General features: G+C 39.0%; 2 protein-coding genes across 2 annotated transcripts in view; one reads left to right on the top strand and one right to left on the bottom strand.

The window, feature by feature from the left end:
* OR9Q1 (olfactory receptor family 9 subfamily Q member 1) overlaps positions 1 to 18,566 on the bottom strand; it is a 157,736-nt gene that overhangs the window by 47,454 nt on the left and 91,716 nt on the right. The window lies entirely within an intron of this gene.
* On the top strand, positions 8,633 to 17,421 carry OR9I1 (olfactory receptor family 9 subfamily I member 1). Its single transcript, NM_001005211.2, has 3 exons — positions 8,633 to 8,889; positions 9,524 to 9,725; positions 14,697 to 17,421. The coding sequence occupies exon 3, from the start codon at positions 14,719 to 14,721 to the stop codon at positions 15,661 to 15,663; it is 945 nt and encodes a 314-aa protein (NP_001005211.1). The 5' UTR covers positions 8,633 to 8,889; positions 9,524 to 9,725; positions 14,697 to 14,718; the 3' UTR covers positions 15,664 to 17,421.

Genomic DNA, 18,566 nt, shown 5'->3' with positions numbered 1-18,566 from the left:
AAGCCTTGCAAAGCATGAGCATGGACATCAGGCCTCCTTAATTCTGGCTGGGGCCCTTTCATCCCTAACCTCCTTAGAGCTTCTCAGCCAATCAGCTTCTAAATGAGAGATCTCAATTAAGCTCAGTCAAGCACTCACAGAAAGTAGCTTGATGGACTCTGAACTGCAGGAATCTGAGGCTTCACTGCCACCCAGAGCAGAAATATCCTCTCTGGTATCACTGATGGCTGATCTCGGAGCTAGCAGTGACCCCTTCTGACCAATTACACCTATGAGAACTGAACAATTCCAAAAATGGGGAAATTACTCATCCACAAAGGAGATTGTTCTATTTTAGACCCTACCTGTTGCTTCTAGCTCTCTCTATAACGTCAATGGCGTCATGCTGAATCATTCCCAACACCTGCCAGCATTTTACAAGTTTCTTAGAAATTCAATAAGAGTTGCTGCTTGCTCTTCCACTTTCTCAATGTAACTAATTACATGTAAATAGCCTCCCCACTTTTCCATGTGATCTCACCTTTCTATGTCTTCTGATTCTGAAAACAATCACGTGGAGTAGGTATGCAAGGCATTATCAGTTCCATGTTATAGATAAGGAAACCAAGACACAAAGATGCTAAGTGCCTCGCATTATTGCAAGGGAGAAGCGAAAGTATTAAGTCCCAGCACATTGTGCTCCCAGAAAATCACATGTAGCTTTGACCCCACCCTGAGCGCCAGAGGGAGTGGGAGAAGATCCAGCAGCAGCCTGTCTGTGGCACAGAGAGCCTGGACTCTGGTTACACCATCTCCCCTTATGCCTTCAGCCCTCCTGCTGCAGCTAATCTCTGCATGAGCTCATCTATCCCTTCTGCTCCTCCAGTGTTTTCATTCTGTAACCAATCTCCTCTATTAAATTCTCTGAAATACCAAAAACAAAACAAAACAAAACAAAAAGAAACAAAGAGAAAAACCCATTTTATGTTAGAGGAAACTGAAGTTCAGATTATCAAGTACATTTCCAGTCTGGTCTGTAGTGCATTTTCTCTCTGATCTACTATGGCCATGCTCACCTTCAGCAGGACCAAAAGGTCCTTCCCCAGTCTGGAAGGCTGGGCTGAGCGCAGGTAGAATGTGGTGTCTAAGTGGGGCTTTGGAGGCCCAGATAAATAGACATCTTCAGCACCTGTAACTCACAGGCCTGGCATCCAGGGGAGCTGGATTAATAGGAGCTGGAGCTCTGCCCTATCCTAGACTGGATCCTTCACTCCAGGAAGGCAATTAGAAGACTGGAGCAAAGGGATTTGCCACTGACTGGGGTTTCTAATCAGCCCTAAGCTTCTAATTAGGCTTCTCCAATGCCCAGAGGAAAGAAATCTTCAGAAAAGGGCCTCTGCAAAGTTTGCTTTCTCAATCTCTCCTCACTCAACCTTCATCTTGTCTGGCGGCCTCCTCCATAATCCAACCTCACCCTGGGGATGAGGGAGATACCTCTGTGTTCTGCTCTTTGAGGAGTTGTCATCAACCCAAGGTGACCCTTTCTGACCAACCTCATTTACAGAGCCTGAGTGAAATGTGACTGTGTGAGGTCCCAGCAATCTGCTCACTCATTTATTCAGCTAATATTTAATTAACTATAGATAAAGTACCCAGAGCAATGTCTGGCACATCATATTTTTTCTATCTCTGTTTAACTCATTGAGTCTTTACAACAATCCTATAGGGTAGATACTATTTTTATTCTATGCCTCAACTGAGGAAACCGAGGCTCAGAAAGGTGAAGTAACCACTCATGGTCACACAGGTAGTAAGAAGAAGAGCTGAGACTGGAACTAGGGGAGGCTGGCTCCAGACTCCTTACTCTTAACCACTATCCTGTGTGGCCTAGTGTAATTTAGCTGATTGTAAATACAAATTATTTCATATAGAAAATTTGGACAATGTCAAAGTCTAAAAGAAGAAATTTAAACCATTGAACCATTCCAACAAGCACTGTTAACAGTTGGAGGAAATACACTAGAACAGAGTTATTTAAAACATAAGCTCTGCAAGTAGATTGCTCTACCTTGTGGATTTAAGTGAGTTATATCACTTCTATATGCCCACCTCCTGGGATAGTCAGAAAGTTGAAGAAGATGATACATATAAAACACTCAGAACTGGACCTAGCATTCGGTTGGTGCAAAAGTAATTGCAGTTTTGCCACTATTAATACTATTAATATCCTTCCAGAATTTTCTACTCTAGGTATTTTTTTAAATTGAAATCAAAGTTTATATTGCCTTTTTATACTGTTCCCTTGGGGTGAGTTAATAAGAAGAAAAATAACTGTTATAAAGTTTCTCAAGTGGGAGAGGCCTATAAGCCACCCCAATACCCTGAAAAGTATTGAGACTCCTCATTGGACAGCTCGTGAGTGTTGGGGGCATTGAACACCATATTCTGAGACTCCATACCCTGAAAGTCTAGGTGACCACAGGAAAAGAAAAAACTAACCCCCAATCTTGCCGTAACGCTGGTGAGATTTCCTTCTAACATACCACATGCTGTTGAACAAACTCAAGGGTAGTCAGAATGCTCAAAACTCTTAGGTAAAGGAGAAACCTCCACAAACGAAAAAATCTTTTATATTTATAAAATTATATAAAACATTGTTATATAATGTTATAAATATTATATAAGACACTGTGATATACATCCTTCTAATCTTAACAGATAGGCAATTATGACACATTTAATTTAGAAGACTTATTAATAAAGATATATATATTTCTTATCCTTACATGTGATGGAGAAAATTTATATCCCAAAAAATGTATATTCCTCATCCTGCTATTTTGCTGTGTCTAACACTAACAGCCACCACTGATGACACAGTCCTGTCCACCAGGAAGACCCTTCAGTCCTTTACGGTGGTTTCCACACAGGCCAGCTCCCCACCCAGGCCAGCTGAGAATAATTTACATCCCTGAACCTTTGTGGAGGTCTGAGTTTGAATCCCCTAACTCAGGGGAAATTCCCCAGGTTGCTATGTAGATCAGTGGTCCTTCTGAGCTCTAGCCCTGCAGCATTTAAGAGCCAAAAGCACATGTGTGCACAGGGAGATGTTTATAGCATTCAAACTCCAGGCTCCTCACATCCAAAATATCCTACCGCACCAAAGTAATTTGGGTCACTTTGGTATTTTCAATTTTTTATTATGAAATAACAGTACCATGATTATAGATTTTTATAGATATTAATAATTACATCCTTTATAGACATTAATAATTATGTCCTATTATAGACATTAATGATTATAGACATTAATGATTTTACCCTAGGAGTAATTTCCTAGAAACAGAACAATGGGGGAAAAGGGCATTTTTTTTTTTTTGAGACAGTCTTACTCTGTCACCTGGGCTGGGGTGCAGTGGCGTGATCTCAGTTCACTGCAACCTCCTGGGTTCAAGCTATTCTCCCACTTAACCTCCCAACATAGCAGGCATGTACCACCACACCTGGCTAATTTTTCTTCTTGTGTTTTCTGTTTTACTTTTTGGTAATTTTTTAGTAGAAATGGGGTTTCGCCATGTAGGCCAGGCTGGTCTCGAACTCCTAGCCTCAAGCAATCCATCCACCTCGGCTTCCCAAAGTGCTGGGATTACAGGCACAAGCCACCACACCCAGCCAGGAAAAGGGCACTTTTATTTTTAAGGGCCTTCATGTGAATTAGCCAACTGACTTCAAGATGCTCCCCAGCACTCCAGTGTAGGAAGGGAAATGTTTGCCATCACTCCTGTTAATAATGAATATTATAATTTTCTTTCAAATATTTGATGATTATGTAGGCAAAAAGTATCTCATGACTACATTTTTTTTGTAATTTTTCCTGCCTACTATGTTAAATTTTTTCATATATTTAGCCATTTCTATTTCTTTGTAAACTCAGCACTCTTATATTTTGCCAGTTTTTCTATTGAAGTGTTTAACTTTTCTGATTGAATTGTAGAAACATTAAGGCTCTCTCCTCTCATTGTTTAACAAATATTTATTGAGTGCCTAGTGTAAACCAAGAGCTGTTCTAGGCCCTACAGATGCAGCAGTGAACAAGGCAGACTCGAGGAAGAGCATTAGGACAAATACCTAATGCATGCGGGGCTTAAAACCTATATGATGGGTTGATGGGTATGGCAAAGCACCATGGCACAGGTATACCTATGTAACAAACCTGCACATTCTGCATATGTATCCCAGAACTTAAAGTAAAACAAAAATAAAATAAACTCACCTGTATTTATATATACCAGGAAAAAATAAGCAAAAAATAATTTGAAAAAAACAGAAAAAAAAAGCCCTGCCCTCTTATAGCTTATATTCTAATAGGCAGCAACAGAGAGAGTCATGTTATAAAGAAATAGAGAAGGGTGCTGTGACAGAAACTATTTGGAGTAGCGACAGAGAAAGGGAACTTCTGGAGGTCAGAAAAGGTCTTGGTGATGGGGTATTTACACTGAGACCTGCATGAAAAGAAGACACAAGCGCACCTTCTCGAGTGAGTAGCATTTCAGGCAGAAGGAACAGTAAATCCAAAGGCTCTGAGGCCAGAATATGCTGGGGTCTCAAGAAACAGATAGAAGACCAGTAGGAGATCAAAACCAGAGGGAGGTTGGGGGTAGATCACAGATAATCATATAGGCCGCAGTAAAAATATCAGGTTTGAGTCTAAGTGCAATGGGAAGCCAATGGAAGGTTTTTAATAGGGAACTTACAGAATCTGATGTAGGTTTTAAACAATTTCTCTTGATTCTATGAGAAAAATGGATTATAGAGAGGCAAGAGTAAAAGCAGGAAGACATTTAGGGGGCTATTGTGGGAGTGTCCAGAGATGAGGGACACCAGGAGAGGTAGTGCTAGTGTTCTACTTACACACACACACACACACACACACACACACACACACACGAATTGCTCTGCCTGGCCCTTTGTGGTTGGTTTAATCGGACGTTGTGGCAACCACCACCGTTGAGATGGTGGATGGGCCGTGGAGATGGTGGATCCACCTGGGTTCCTGAGATACTCTGATAAGCAAACCTGTAAGAGATATGTACCTGGAGCAAGAAATAAATCTGTGCTGTTTTAAAGCACTGAGATTTTTATGTTATTTAACAGTGCAGCATAACCAAGGATAACCTAGCTAAAATACCTGAATAGTGGGAAATGAAAAGAAACGAGTGAATTTAAGATGGTATGAAGTAAATCTAACAGGACATGCTTTCCATGTATGTCATAAATACCTTTTTAGTATTTGATTTGCCTTTTTTATGTGATGTTTTGACATATGAAATTTTTAACATTTTTACAGACACATAAACTTTAGTATTATATTTGCTTTTTTATTTTTATGCGATGTTTTGACATATGGAATTTTTAACATTTTATGTAGACACATACATATGCCTTTATGCTAACTTTCTGTATTTTTAGGTTTAAAAAAGTACATTTCCACATTTTCTTTATCCATTCATCTTGTTGATGGGCACTTCCACAAAAATTTTTTTTTAATGTTAAGTAAATTTCCCACTCTGAGTGATGACAAAGTGACAAAGATTCACTTATATTTTCTTTATAACGCGATAGATCTGACATTTGTTTTGATATAAGCTGTGAGATACTGTTCAAACTTCTCAAATACGTAACCAGTCATTTCATTATCAATGATTCCATAAATATTTCTTTCTCCACTAATGCAAAATACCACCTTTATTATATACTAATTCCTCGTGGATACTTGGATTTGTTTCTCAGCTTTGCCATTTGTCCTACTGATGTATCTACCAATTCTTACATCTGAAAAAGATTGCTTTAATTATTAAAGCTTTATAGTAAGCTTTTATATCAGGCAGGTTAATTGCTCTCTTCCTACTGTTCTTTTTTTTTTTTTTTTAGTTTTTCTTGGCTGTTTTCACCTGTTTGCCCCTACTATTCTACTATAAATATTGAAATATTTTTTCTATTAATATATTATTTTTCTAACAAATCCTTACACAAAGATTATGAAAGTGATACCCTTTTCATAATATCTAGTGATGCTCATTTTGACAGTTTGGTATACATTCTTCTAGATATTCCAGTGCCTATACAAACATACAAAACCATGAATACTTCAGAGTTAGTGTCAAAAATTTTTTTCAATTTAAATGGTAGAAAGCCAAATAAAATTGACTTAAAAATTAAAAAATGAAATTTGTTGATGTAACCAAAAACACTTTATCTGGATAGCTCCAGGCAAGACTTGCTTCAGAAATTCAAATATCCTCAGGCTGCAGTCTTGGACATTGGGGTTTTCCAAAAGTCCAAACTTCATTAGACCTCAGTCTTCCTTTCTTCCTCTCTTAACTTCTCTCTGGGCTATTTTCACTCATTCAGTGGCATCAGAAGCCCCAGATATAAACACTCAAAATTCTATCAGGAAAAAAGAGCATCTTTAAGTATCCCAGTTAACAGATCAGTACACCCACCTGCAGCTGCTATGAGTATTGGCTGCTAAGAGCTCACAGCTCTCCTTCTCTGGAGAATTGCCATTAGCTAAGGGATCCACTTTTCCCAGAATGCCTGGGAAGTCACACCACTTGGAGGCAGCCCACAGTCAATGGATGGTTGGTGTGGGCTGCAAAAAGCCAAATCCCTTGTCTGGAGGCAGAACTAGGCCCATGGCATAATTCACATTCCAGAGTTACTCTAAGAATCAGGCCAAAGCTAGCCTCCAGCTGAAACTACATCCTACATCTTTGCTTAGCTATTTCCTGTTTCATTCACTCCCTTACAGGTTTCTCCTTCAAGCACTCCCTCAGTGAGGCACTTGCCCAAAATTCTGTCCCGGGTCTTTTTTTAAGGAAGCTAACCTAAGATGCATCTCTTCCCAAAAGTCCAAACAGAAGTTCTGGAGTGAGGCCGGGCACGGTGGCTCATGCCTGTAATCCCAGCACTTCTGGAGGCCGAGGCGGGCAGATCACTCGAGGTCAGGAATTCAAGACCAGCCTGGCCAACATGGTGAAACTCCGTCTCTACTAAAACTACAAAAATAAGCTGGGCGTGGTGGCACATGCCTGTAGTCCTAGCTACTAGGGAGGCAGAGGTGAGAGAATCGCTTGAACCCGGGAAGTGGAGTTGCAGTGAGCCAAGATCATGCCATTGCACTCCAGCCTGGGCGACAGAGCAAGACTCTGGTGAAATGCTTAACAATAACAATAACAATATTAAAGATAACAATAGTAATGATTATGTTATACATCAAAGCACTCTAGATCCCCCAATGTGTCAAAAGGAAGGAAGGTAATATCTACTGTATAGTCACCCCATTCTACAAGTTCCCCAGGGGATGTTGAATGGAATATTCTTATTACTGGCATATTCCTTCACCCTGTCCCAATTACCACTCTACCTTCTATACCATTCCAGGAAGTATTAGAATACACTACATATACTCTTACCACACAGTTATTTCAATAGATATTTAATTATAGGAAATAATAAATATTGTCCAAAAATGTATTGGAAGGTAGAATTTCTTGTGCTAACTGCCAGGAGTCCTGATCTGTGGCTGCCACCCTTCTTTGTAATATATTCTTGTATCAACTGGCATCTGGCATCTGCAATTATGAAAACCACCCTAGTTCGCCTGAATGCTTGCTAATTTTCAAAGGTTTTTTATCCCAGCCATGTTACTTAGAAGCAAACAGAGCACATGGCCTCTTTGAGATTTCTTCTGCTGGAAAAGTTCTGATCCTACAATAAAAAGCTGATGAAAGCTTATAGGACACAGAGAGGTTCTACTGAATCAGGAACCAAGTTATTAGTAGGAAGAAAGATAGGTTCTCCAGGAACCCACAATCCAGCAGAGGAGATGAGACTATTCACTAAAGAATAACTATGAACACTGTAAGACAAGTGGAGTTCAGTGCCAAATTATGTGGTTCTAACAAAGAGATCATGGGTTTCAGAGACGAGGGAAGAGACAAGAGCTGGAGTGGTTAGAGAGTTGACCATGGAAACCCTGGAAATAGATCTTTAAGGAAGGTGAGCTGACAAGCTCCTCAGTATAGACATGAATGAAGTATGTTTAGACCACACCAGACTCATACCTTCCTGAGCCAATAATCACTCTTCCTTGAAATTCTGAGCAGACAATGCAGCCAGGTTTCAGCCCCTGATATGGGACTTGACATCAGGACTAAGGATGAGTGTGTTGTAAAGAGAACTTTACCAGGAGTCCTAAGATCTGAGTTCCAGTCCTGATATTACCACTGAGTAACTTTGGGAATGGTGAGCCAGTGGCAAAGAAAAACCAAGTTCATTCCCAGCAGAGTCTGCAGTTGAGCTTTGAGACAAACAAGGCTTACGAGTTTTCATGAGCTCCCATAAGATTTGTTTTTATTCTCTCAGAAGTGTGCAGAAGCTGAGATAATGAGCCTCTGCTGAAGTGTGGTCTCCCTGACCGGGCCGGCTATTCTCTGGAGTCCCAGGGGCTGTCCCAGGTCCTGATTCATGATTCAAGGAAAACCACTGAGATCACTGCATCCCTCCCATAAAACTATCCCCAAAGGCAATTTAAATATCCCACTGGTTTGCTTAGTAAGAAGAAAACCTAAAGTCAGTCAGCTACATACGTCTATTTGAGCAATCTTAGCTGCTTTCTACAAAATGCTTAAACAACCTTAGCTTAGCTTGACTACAAGGCCAAGATAAATCCAACTGAATTATTCCACCAGGTAATTAAGACTTAATTATTACCTTGGCTCTGAAGTAAGGTCCACACAAACTAGAGAAGGTGTAACTGGGCAGAGAATCTTGCCTTTGTCATCAGAAGTTGTCATCTGATAGGACCATGACCAGACTGGGATTTCAGCTCTTATGTGAAATATACAAGTAAGACTGGATCAGCTTTTTTTTGGGGGGGGGGCGGTGGGTAAGGGGGGAATCTACAGCTTTAATCTCTTTGGGCTTTTGTGTCACTAAGTAGATTTCAGAAAATATAAATAGTTTCATGTGGGAGGCGTGGTACTAGACTGCAGAGCTTAGACAAGATATTTTCCTGTAAATGACTCTACTTTCTGTAATTATGCTGGAGTAGAATTAGTCATATGTACTAGGACTCTGGCTTTGGAATAAGACAGACCTGGATTAGACTCCAGGCTTTTTCATTGACTAGTCATGTGACCTTGGACAAGGTACTTAACTATTCCGAGTCCTAGTCTCTTCCAGGACAAAATAATACCTTTTTTGTAGGATCATTGTATGAATTATATGAACTAATGTGTCTACAATGCATAGTATTGTGATCAGCGCAGAGAAGATGTTCGATAAATGGTTGCCAGGATTAGGAAAAGCAGCACAGCGTGTTGATTCAACACTCCAACTCTGGGGTCAGAGAACCAGGGTTAGAATTTAAACATATTTTCTTTCTAGCTGTGAAACCTCAAGCAAAACATCTAATGTCTCTAAACCTTCATTTCCTCATCTGTAAAATAAAATATTTCTCTCTCATTATGTTATTGTCAAGTTGAAAGGAAATAAAAGCCTTTAAAGTGCTTAGCATCTACCTGACTTGGAGCAAGAGCTCAGCAAATGTTAACAACAATATTTCAAGACACTGATTTCAGTAAGGTGAGAAACATTAACTTTGTTGAGCTCCTTCACCCTCCCCAAGGGACTCAATCTTTGGAGGAAAATGAAGAAGAGTATGGAGAACATCCCAAGTTAAAGTAAGTACAAGTGTTAGGGACCATCTCTTCTGTAAAGGGTTCCTCCTGAATTAGAGGAGTCTTTTTCCCTATCCCCTCCAGAGGTCACATATTCTTTTATGTCACATATTATAATTTAAATATATCACAAGTAATAATATCAACCTATAAATGTTCCTAGGCTTTCTTAAAAGAGTCACTGGCCATAAACCGTTGCTTTCCCTTTCATAAACTGTCCTGGGTTCGGGGAGTTGGTTGTTTCTCTCTACTCTTGGCCTCACCCAAGCTGATGGTACCCCAATCTCCTTCTTAAACAAGATCACACAAAACTGGGTGTCACCAGTCTGCTCCTAAAATTTTTCCCTCTGGGAAATATTTTGGAAATTGCCTGTCTGAAAAATAAGCAAGCTCTACCATATTAGATAAACATCCATTCTATTTCAAGAATCGTTACTATATTCTCATTTTATTATTGAAAAAATTGAGGTTCCAATTGGTTGAGCAGTTTTCCAAGGGTATATCAAGAGGGATATGGTCCAACTAAGTCTCTCTCAAGTTATAAAGAAAGAAAAAGAAGAAAAAACATGGACCACAAAGAACTCCAACATCAATCTTTATACTTGATGCCCACAGAAGTTGAGTATTTGCCTAATGGTTTTAGAGAGGCGCTTTGATTTTAAAGGTTTGGGGCTTGGATCTGCATAAAGGGTCTTTCTCATGCCCTAAAAAGAGAACATGATAAGATGGAAAGAATACAGAATTTGGAATTAGAATGTCCTAGGTTCAAATGTCTGTTCTGTTCCTTCCTAGGTGTATAATAAGTTGGACAACCTTCTTAACTTCTCTGAACTCTGCTTTGTTCATCCATAAAATAGTCATAGCTATACCCAACTTGGAGGGCTTCAGGAAGGACTAGAGCTAATGTATGAAACAGGCCTTGCATGCATGTGCCACAAACTCAGTGTGATTGCATCTGCACCCCAACAATCTGCCACCTAATCTCTGGTCAGGAGCCTTGAACAATTGTGTCTCTAATCAGAGAGACCCCCAGGAATTAGCCATGAGATAGATGTAATATGACCTACAACAATTTCAGAAGTAGATACTGAGAAAGGTGTTGAAATTAACCAAGTTATCTCATGATTTGAAGGTAAAAAAGCTCTGATTAACTGCAGGGAGATTTCTTTGTTTCCATAGATTATAAAGATATAGGAAAATGGAGGGAGACAACAAAACAAATTTATAGCTGAAAGCAGAGGATTTGCCATCAACTAACTCTTCTGCTTCTACTTTCACTTGGAGGTAATTTTAGACAAATTAATCTCCCAAAGATTTAAATTCCTCATTGGTAAAAATAAGGTCATAATATCTGCTTAAAGGGCTGCTTTCAGAATTAAATAATATATGCAAAGCACTCACAGTCTCTAGTAGAATTGATAAGTAAAATATGTTATAAGCATACCAAGCAAGACCATAACAAAATCCGAAAAAAAAAACAAAATTTACCACAATTACATAAACAAATCACAAAAATACGGTGTATGCTAAAAAATGAGATTTATGTCACAATATCATGTACACAAATTTTAAAACACACCACAGCCACTATATTTTAATATACATATATTTCTAAATAAATATGAAAAGAATAAACATAGAAGGATATGTATTTTGAATACACTGGAGTGCACACTTAAGAGGAACAGGGGAAGGAGTAAGAATGAGGCAGGACTAACAAAAATAATAAAATAAAATAAAATGAAGAAGAGCCTTGCCCTGACCAATGATGATGGTTTATCAGGAACTGAGGAGTAAAGGCCATTCAATTTTCTACCTAAGGCCCCAAAATATTATGTTTAAGTAACTATAAATCACTTGAAATAGTGCCTGCATTGCTTTATATACTCAGTATTTAGTAGATACAGAGCCTAAATACCTAGACATATAAATCATGGATTGTGAGAAACAAAAGATTCAGTGGTCATATAACCTAGCTCTGCCATTTCATAGAATAGAAAGCGAAGTCCATGTTGAAGGGAAAATAAACGTTTGAAGTTTACTCAGCTAGTGAGTGCCTGTCATAGAGGTGACAACCACAGAGCTTGAACCATACCATGAAGGCCTTCCAAAGAAGCTGACTCGTCCCCAGACCCTGCTGCTGGAGCAAGGTGGATGGAATAGCCCTGGGACATGTTTGACGTGATCTGTCAATGTCTCTCTCCCACTAGGACCCTGATTAGAGCTGAAGTAAGCTCCAGACCCAAGAACAGCTACCATGAGCCCTTTCATGAAAGTGTGTGCTGCTTGTCTCTCTCTACCCATGTAGTGAATAAAGCAGTCACAATGATTCTAGAGATGGGGCCTCATCACAAGTTCAAAACCTCTTCCTGGCAGGTCCCAGTGGAATTAGACCTTAGGTGAAAGAGAAGTAAAAAAAGGGATCCCATGGAAGCCAGAGGACCTGCCTGTTATCCCCAAGTCTGCAAATAGCTAATTATTTGACTTTTGGACAAGTCATTAACCTCTGTCAGTTGTCTCAATGCCAAAATAATGACAATATCAATCAAGTCAACTTTACAGGGGTGTGGAGGCAATCACAGACATTTATGGATATAAAATGTATGAAAGAAGGTAGAAAGAGGTATTATGATGAGTTTTTACTACTATGGATTTTATCAAAAATAGCAATCCCCATGTTGCCACAGCAAAGAAAATTCCCAGTTGTGCTACAAGGAAAAGAGTTTCTTAACAATCTAATTTCTATATTCATGGCTTCATCAAACATAGTTCTAGATTCAAGGACTCTGAATTGGCAGATTCCAACCTGAGGAAGTTGGGGGTGTAAGATTAAGGAGGCCAGGCAAATGGTTCAAGGGGAGCAGTGTAGGATAATGGAATCTGGAGACTTGGTTGTGGATCCTGGCTCCTCTACATGTGGGTCAACGGATGGTTTCATTTCTCCAATCTCCACTTCTCAAACACAAACAAACTAATGTCACCTGTCCAGTAGGATTGTTGCCAGGTTTCTGGCAGGTCCTGGGAGAGTAGAGATGACTTTGGGAAAAAAAAGAGATGGGAACCTAGGCTTCCATGCACACTCTCCCAAGGAAGGCTTTAGGCATTTTAATGAGTATCCTGGATGGACTTGGAACATGGTATTATGCAGTATTACGAGGTGACTCAAATCTGTACCATATGGCAACAGGAAATCTTAGGAAATGCAAAATTTCCATGACTCAAATATAAAGCAAACTAAACATAATTATTTTAACCAATTTGTTAGATCAAAAGAAAGGAGCATTTATTTGACTTGATGTTTGAAAGATTCTCCCAGAAGCAGAAGTTTAATGACATTTCCTTTTCTGTGTATCCAATCACAATATTTAGTCTTTTTGTGTATGGCATGTACATAGTCATAATAGAGAAACACAAATTACTGATAGTAGAATCAACCCGTAGTCAAAATATAGAGAAGACTTAAATTAGCAAGCATTCCCATATGAATGGGATAAAAGACTGATTTTTTTGTTAAGGGGGTGGAAGGGAGAAGAGAGAAAAGAACAAGGGAATAATTTCTTCATCTTACTTAGTGAAGGTCAAATTTACTCAGTCAAAAAACAAGAATATATGTATATATATATATATATATATATATGGTATTGAAATAAAGATACAAATATATTACACAAAGATAGCAATATTAACAAAGTTCATGCGGGTTAAATGGATTATGTTTCAGTACAGAAAATCAATAGCTACCAACTAAAATTGATGATAATAGCAACAACAAAAGTAGCCAACATTATTTAGCTTTATGTGCTGGGTACTGATCTACACTTCTTACAGGTATTAACTTATTAATACTTAAAAGGCTACAAATTGAGTTCAGTGTATACTGCTCGGGTGATGGATATACCAAAAATCTCACAAATCACCACTAAAGAACTCATTCATGAACCAAATATCAACTGTTCCCCAAAAACCTATGAAAATAAAAAATAAAAACATATTCAAATTCAAAAAAAGATAATAAATTTTCTTTTCCTTAAAAAAATTAAAAGACCCCTATGACATAAGCATATTTTTCTATGTTACAAATAGGTGAATATGTTATTTTATGAATGTATGAACTTTGATTTTGGACAATGTATAAACTCTACCCAACTTTGATTTTATGAAAAGTTGAGGCACAAAGGGGTTAGTTAACTTACCCAAGGTCATAAAAAAGTAGCAAGTCCACGAGTTTGAACATATTATTTATAATCATGATGTATAAGTAACTAAAAAATATAAAATGCAATATGTTGAAGATGATGGCCCCTGAGCTGGGGTGGTGATGATTAAAGTAGAAAGAAAGACTTTTTGTTATCAGCTAATACTATTCGACTAGGCAATTTTTTTACTGCCCATTGAATAATTATATAGTAAGACGGAAAATATATCAATGTGTACTATAAGGGAATGGTGGGCAGGAAGAGCAGATTCATCAGTTCCAACTTGTGAAAGGCTTTCATAAGAAGAAGTGATTAAAATTGCTGTATCTAGAAGGGGTAAAACTAAGGCCAGTGTGTGAAAGGTACAGAAGGAGAAACCCTAGGTCCAAAAAGAGAATCAACAGGTGGAACTGTTTGCAGATGGAGGCTCATACGGCAACTGAGTGACCGTGTGGTGGGTATATGGTAAGTGAGACTCCAGCCCCAGATGGGACTGGAACAGATACTGTCTAGGTCTCTTCCAAACCTAAGAATTGTATGCCTCTTATCTTTACAGAAATTTCCAAATGTAAACTAGGATTAGTTTGAATCAGAAATACCAGCTTAAGGCTCAGTTCCATAAAATGCAAGAGATGCCCAAGGAAAATCAGCCAGTTTCAGAATTTCTTAAAAACAAACTCTACAAATAGACCCAGAATTAAAACCAAAACTTCCACCATAGAGGGAAAGATTCTGTCCTTCAATTCTGAGATTCTTTTTATTTCATTATCATCCTCAGACCAACAGTCCACATTGTCTCCATGGCCAAGAATAATCTCACCAGAGTAACCGAATTCATTCTCATGGGCTTTATGGACCACCCCAAATTGGAGATTCCCCTCTTTCTGGTGTTTCTGAGTTTCTACCTAGTCACCCTTCTTGGGAATGTGGGGATGATTATGTTAATCCAAGTAGATGTCAAACTCTACACCCCAATGTACTTCTTCCTGAGCCACCTCTCCCTGCTGGATGCCTGTTACACCTCAGTCATCACCCCTCAGATCCTAGCCACATTGGCCACAGGCAAAACGGTCATCTCCTACGGCCACTGTGCTGCCCAGTTCTTTTTATTCACCATCTGTGCAGGCACAGAGTGCTTTCTGCTGGCAGTGATGGCCTATGATCGCTATGCTGCCATTCGCAACCCACTGCTCTATACCGTGGCCATGAATCCCAGGCTCTGCTGGAGCCTGGTGGTAGGAGCCTATGTCTGTGGGGTGTCAGGAGCCATCCTGCGTACCACTTGCACCTTCACCCTCTCCTTCTGTAAGGACAATCAAATAAACTTCTTCTTCTGTGACCTCCCACCCCTGCTGAAGCTTGCCTGCAGTGACACAGCAAACATCGAGATTGTCATCATCTTCTTTGGCAATTTTGTGATTTTGGCCAATGCCTCCGTCATCCTGATTTCCTATCTGCTCATCATCAAGACCATTTTGAAAGTGAAGTCTTCAGGTGGCAGGGCCAAGACTTTCTCCACATGTGCCTCTCACATCACTGCTGTGGCCCTTTTCTTTGGAGCCCTTATCTTCATGTATCTGCAAAGTGGCTCAGGCAAATCTCTGGAGGAAGACAAAGTCGTGTCTGTCTTCTATACAGTGGTCATCCCCATGCTGAACCCTCTGATCTACAGCTTAAGAAACAAAGATGTAAAAGACGCCTTCAGAAAGGTCGCTAGGAGACTCCAGGTGTCCCTGAGCATGTAGATCTAAGTAAGAGGAATTCTTGTTTTAGTCCACTTTCTTCCCATATGAATATATCCTAATAGGCACCATTACTATATGCAACCTATACCCACAAACAGAGAAGACAGAAGATAGGTACCACCAGGCACACAGGAAAAACTACAATTGTGGTGAAATTAGTTTCCAGCAATTCCATGTTCTTTCTTCTTATCCCCTTCTTCCACTTTCAATCCATTCCTTAGCACTGGGCAGTCTCTTAATATTCTCTAATGTCACAACTTATAGAATCTCAGATCCCAGGAGTCTTGAGTTTATTTCATTCCAACCCAATACTCTCTCAACTCATGCCTGGGCTTGCCATCCTTTCCCTCTTGTTTTTGCTCCCATCAATCCCACTTTTATCTCTGTGTCAAAGATTATATCTGGGGACCTCTGCGAATTGCACAAATTGGCCTTTTTTTCTTTTAATATGAAGGACTGATCACCTCACTAAGCAGGGAGTATTGTATAAGGAAAAACTCAGTCTCCAACTGGCCAAGGGAAGGAAGTTTGAGAAATGAACTTCTCTCTTCAGAAGAGACTTGTGTCACCCGCTTAGAGTGTCTTCCTTCTTGCTCAGGCCAGAACAATAGAACTTGAAATTTTCCTTATCACTTGGTACCTTACTGGTTTTGTTGTTCCTTTTTTTAATGTTACTTTGGTATCTTCAAGATGAAATGAACCATCCTACCTTTGGGAATGTCTCCTCAAGCTCTCTCATTTCTGAAGGCCATGGTACATTGCTTCTCCTCCTCACCCTATTGCGTGTCTCAGGAACAGTTCTCTCCTACCAAGCAACCCATTTCCAGGAAGAGCAAATCAGAGAGCACCAACAGATAAATAGAAAGACAACTGAACCCCATATTACCTTCTCTAATGAAGATCTGGTGAGAGGGGAAGTAATCATGACTCCTGTACCAGACTGTAAAACCCTTGAGAACAGAATGTTTTCTTCACTATTGAGTCCAAAGCCTTTTGAAAGAATTTGTATGGTACATGCTTGTTCCTATTTGAGCCTTCTGGCAACTCTATGGCAAATGGGAAAAACATAGTTTAATGTAAAATTCCCATTTTGCAATTAAGGAAGTACTTCCTCATGAGTCAAAGAGTACTCGGAGTATACAGCAGTAGACAAGGGATGGAGTCAGGCTTGAATCAGAATCCTGATTCCACCACTGATTTATTATGAGACTTTGGGTAAATGATTTAATTTTGCAGACCTAAAACAAGTATAACAATTCCCAATTCAAGAGGATATTGTAAAAATTAAATAAAATGATGAATAAGAAATAGCCAAGCACTAATCAGATGTTCAATATAGATTGCTCTCTTATCTTCTCTTCCCTTTCCCTCACTTTCTGATGTCAACCCTGGACCCTTGCTAGAATTTAATGGCCACTGACAAAAGCAAAATAGATCACCAACCAATGATGATAAAAGTCAATGAAAGCAATGAACTGAGGAAGATGTATAACTCAATCCTTTGCACCAAGGAATAAAACAAACGAGTACTTACCTGGAAAGGTGGAGTGCATGTATCTATATCCCACATAGTCAAGAATAATAAAAGGATGTATTTGTAAGTGAATATGTTATTTTATGAATATATGAACTCCTCTACCCAGCTTTGATTTTATGAAAAGTTGATCCTCATTGCCTCTCCATATGGAAACAACAATTTTATTAAAATAATTCACCAAATATCTTGTAGTTGACTGATTCAGAAATAAGCACCTGACCCATGTTGAGCTAATAAAAATTTTCCATCAGCATTGTGAAGCTGAACATGTAAAAGAGATTCAGAATAGAAAACCAGGTTGACCAAGGTGAAGAATATCCAAATAGCTACTAAATGTATGAAGAGCTGCTTATTCTCATTAGGAAATGAGAATAATAAGCATCATTCTCGTAAGAATTTTATCAGGAAATGCATACTTAAAACCATAATAAGTTCACTAAGTTAGCAAGAATTTAAAACTATGATACCACTGTGTTGACAAGGATATGAAAAATGAGTAGTATAAATGGGTTTAACAACTTTATAAAACAATTTGGCAATCCTTTAGAAATAAAAAATATATAACCAGTGACCCAGCTATTCCAGTGGCCTAGCTATACACACTGGAGAAACTCTTGCCCATGCACACTAGGATATGGGTACAGAATGTTCATGAAGCATTGTTGTAATAGCACAAAACTCAAAACACTTTCCTTCGGTTTTTCTTTCTTCTGGCCTGGGGAATGAATGTGATGGCTGGAGCCCTGGCAGCTATTGTGGACCATAAGTTGACCTTAAAGATGAAAGCAATGCATAGAAAACAGCAGAGCAGGGAAAAAGAGAAGCCTAAGTCCCTGATGACATTTTTAATCCACCCTATGGGCCCTGGGCTGCCTATCCTCGGGCTTCTTTTATGTGAGAAGGAAACATTCATCTTATTAAAGAAAGTAATTAGAAACAATATAATTTTTAAAATAGGCTAAACAAAGTCACAATATAGGGATATATACACATATGACAAAGCTTTAAATCACACAAGTAAATGGTTATAACCACAGCCAAGATATAGGAGCAAGGGGAGTTGTGAAAGGGGAGAACTTCATAGGAACTTCTGGAGAGAGGAAGTATTCTATTTATCTTTGTCTGATAGCAATTGCCTGAGTATTTGTTTTTAAAGATTTTTATTAAACTGTATTCATTTTAAGGTACTTCTTTGTATATGTATTATATTTCATTTAAAAATACAAACAGATATGCAGACCCCCATTGCACCCCTAAACTAGCATGGAAGCCTGAGTCATGGGTTCGACGCCCATGTCAGACAGTGGCACACACCTCTCTTTCCTTGGCAACAACATAGTGGGATTCAAGGGAAGTTAGGAGACTC

Source organism: Homo sapiens, chromosome 11, assembly GCF_000001405.40.
Source record: "Homo sapiens chromosome 11, GRCh38.p14 Primary Assembly".
NCBI lineage: Eukaryota > Metazoa > Chordata > Mammalia > Primates > Hominidae > Homo > Homo sapiens.
Note: the sequence above shows the minus strand (reverse complement) of the source record. Positions and strands in the feature narration are given on the sequence as shown.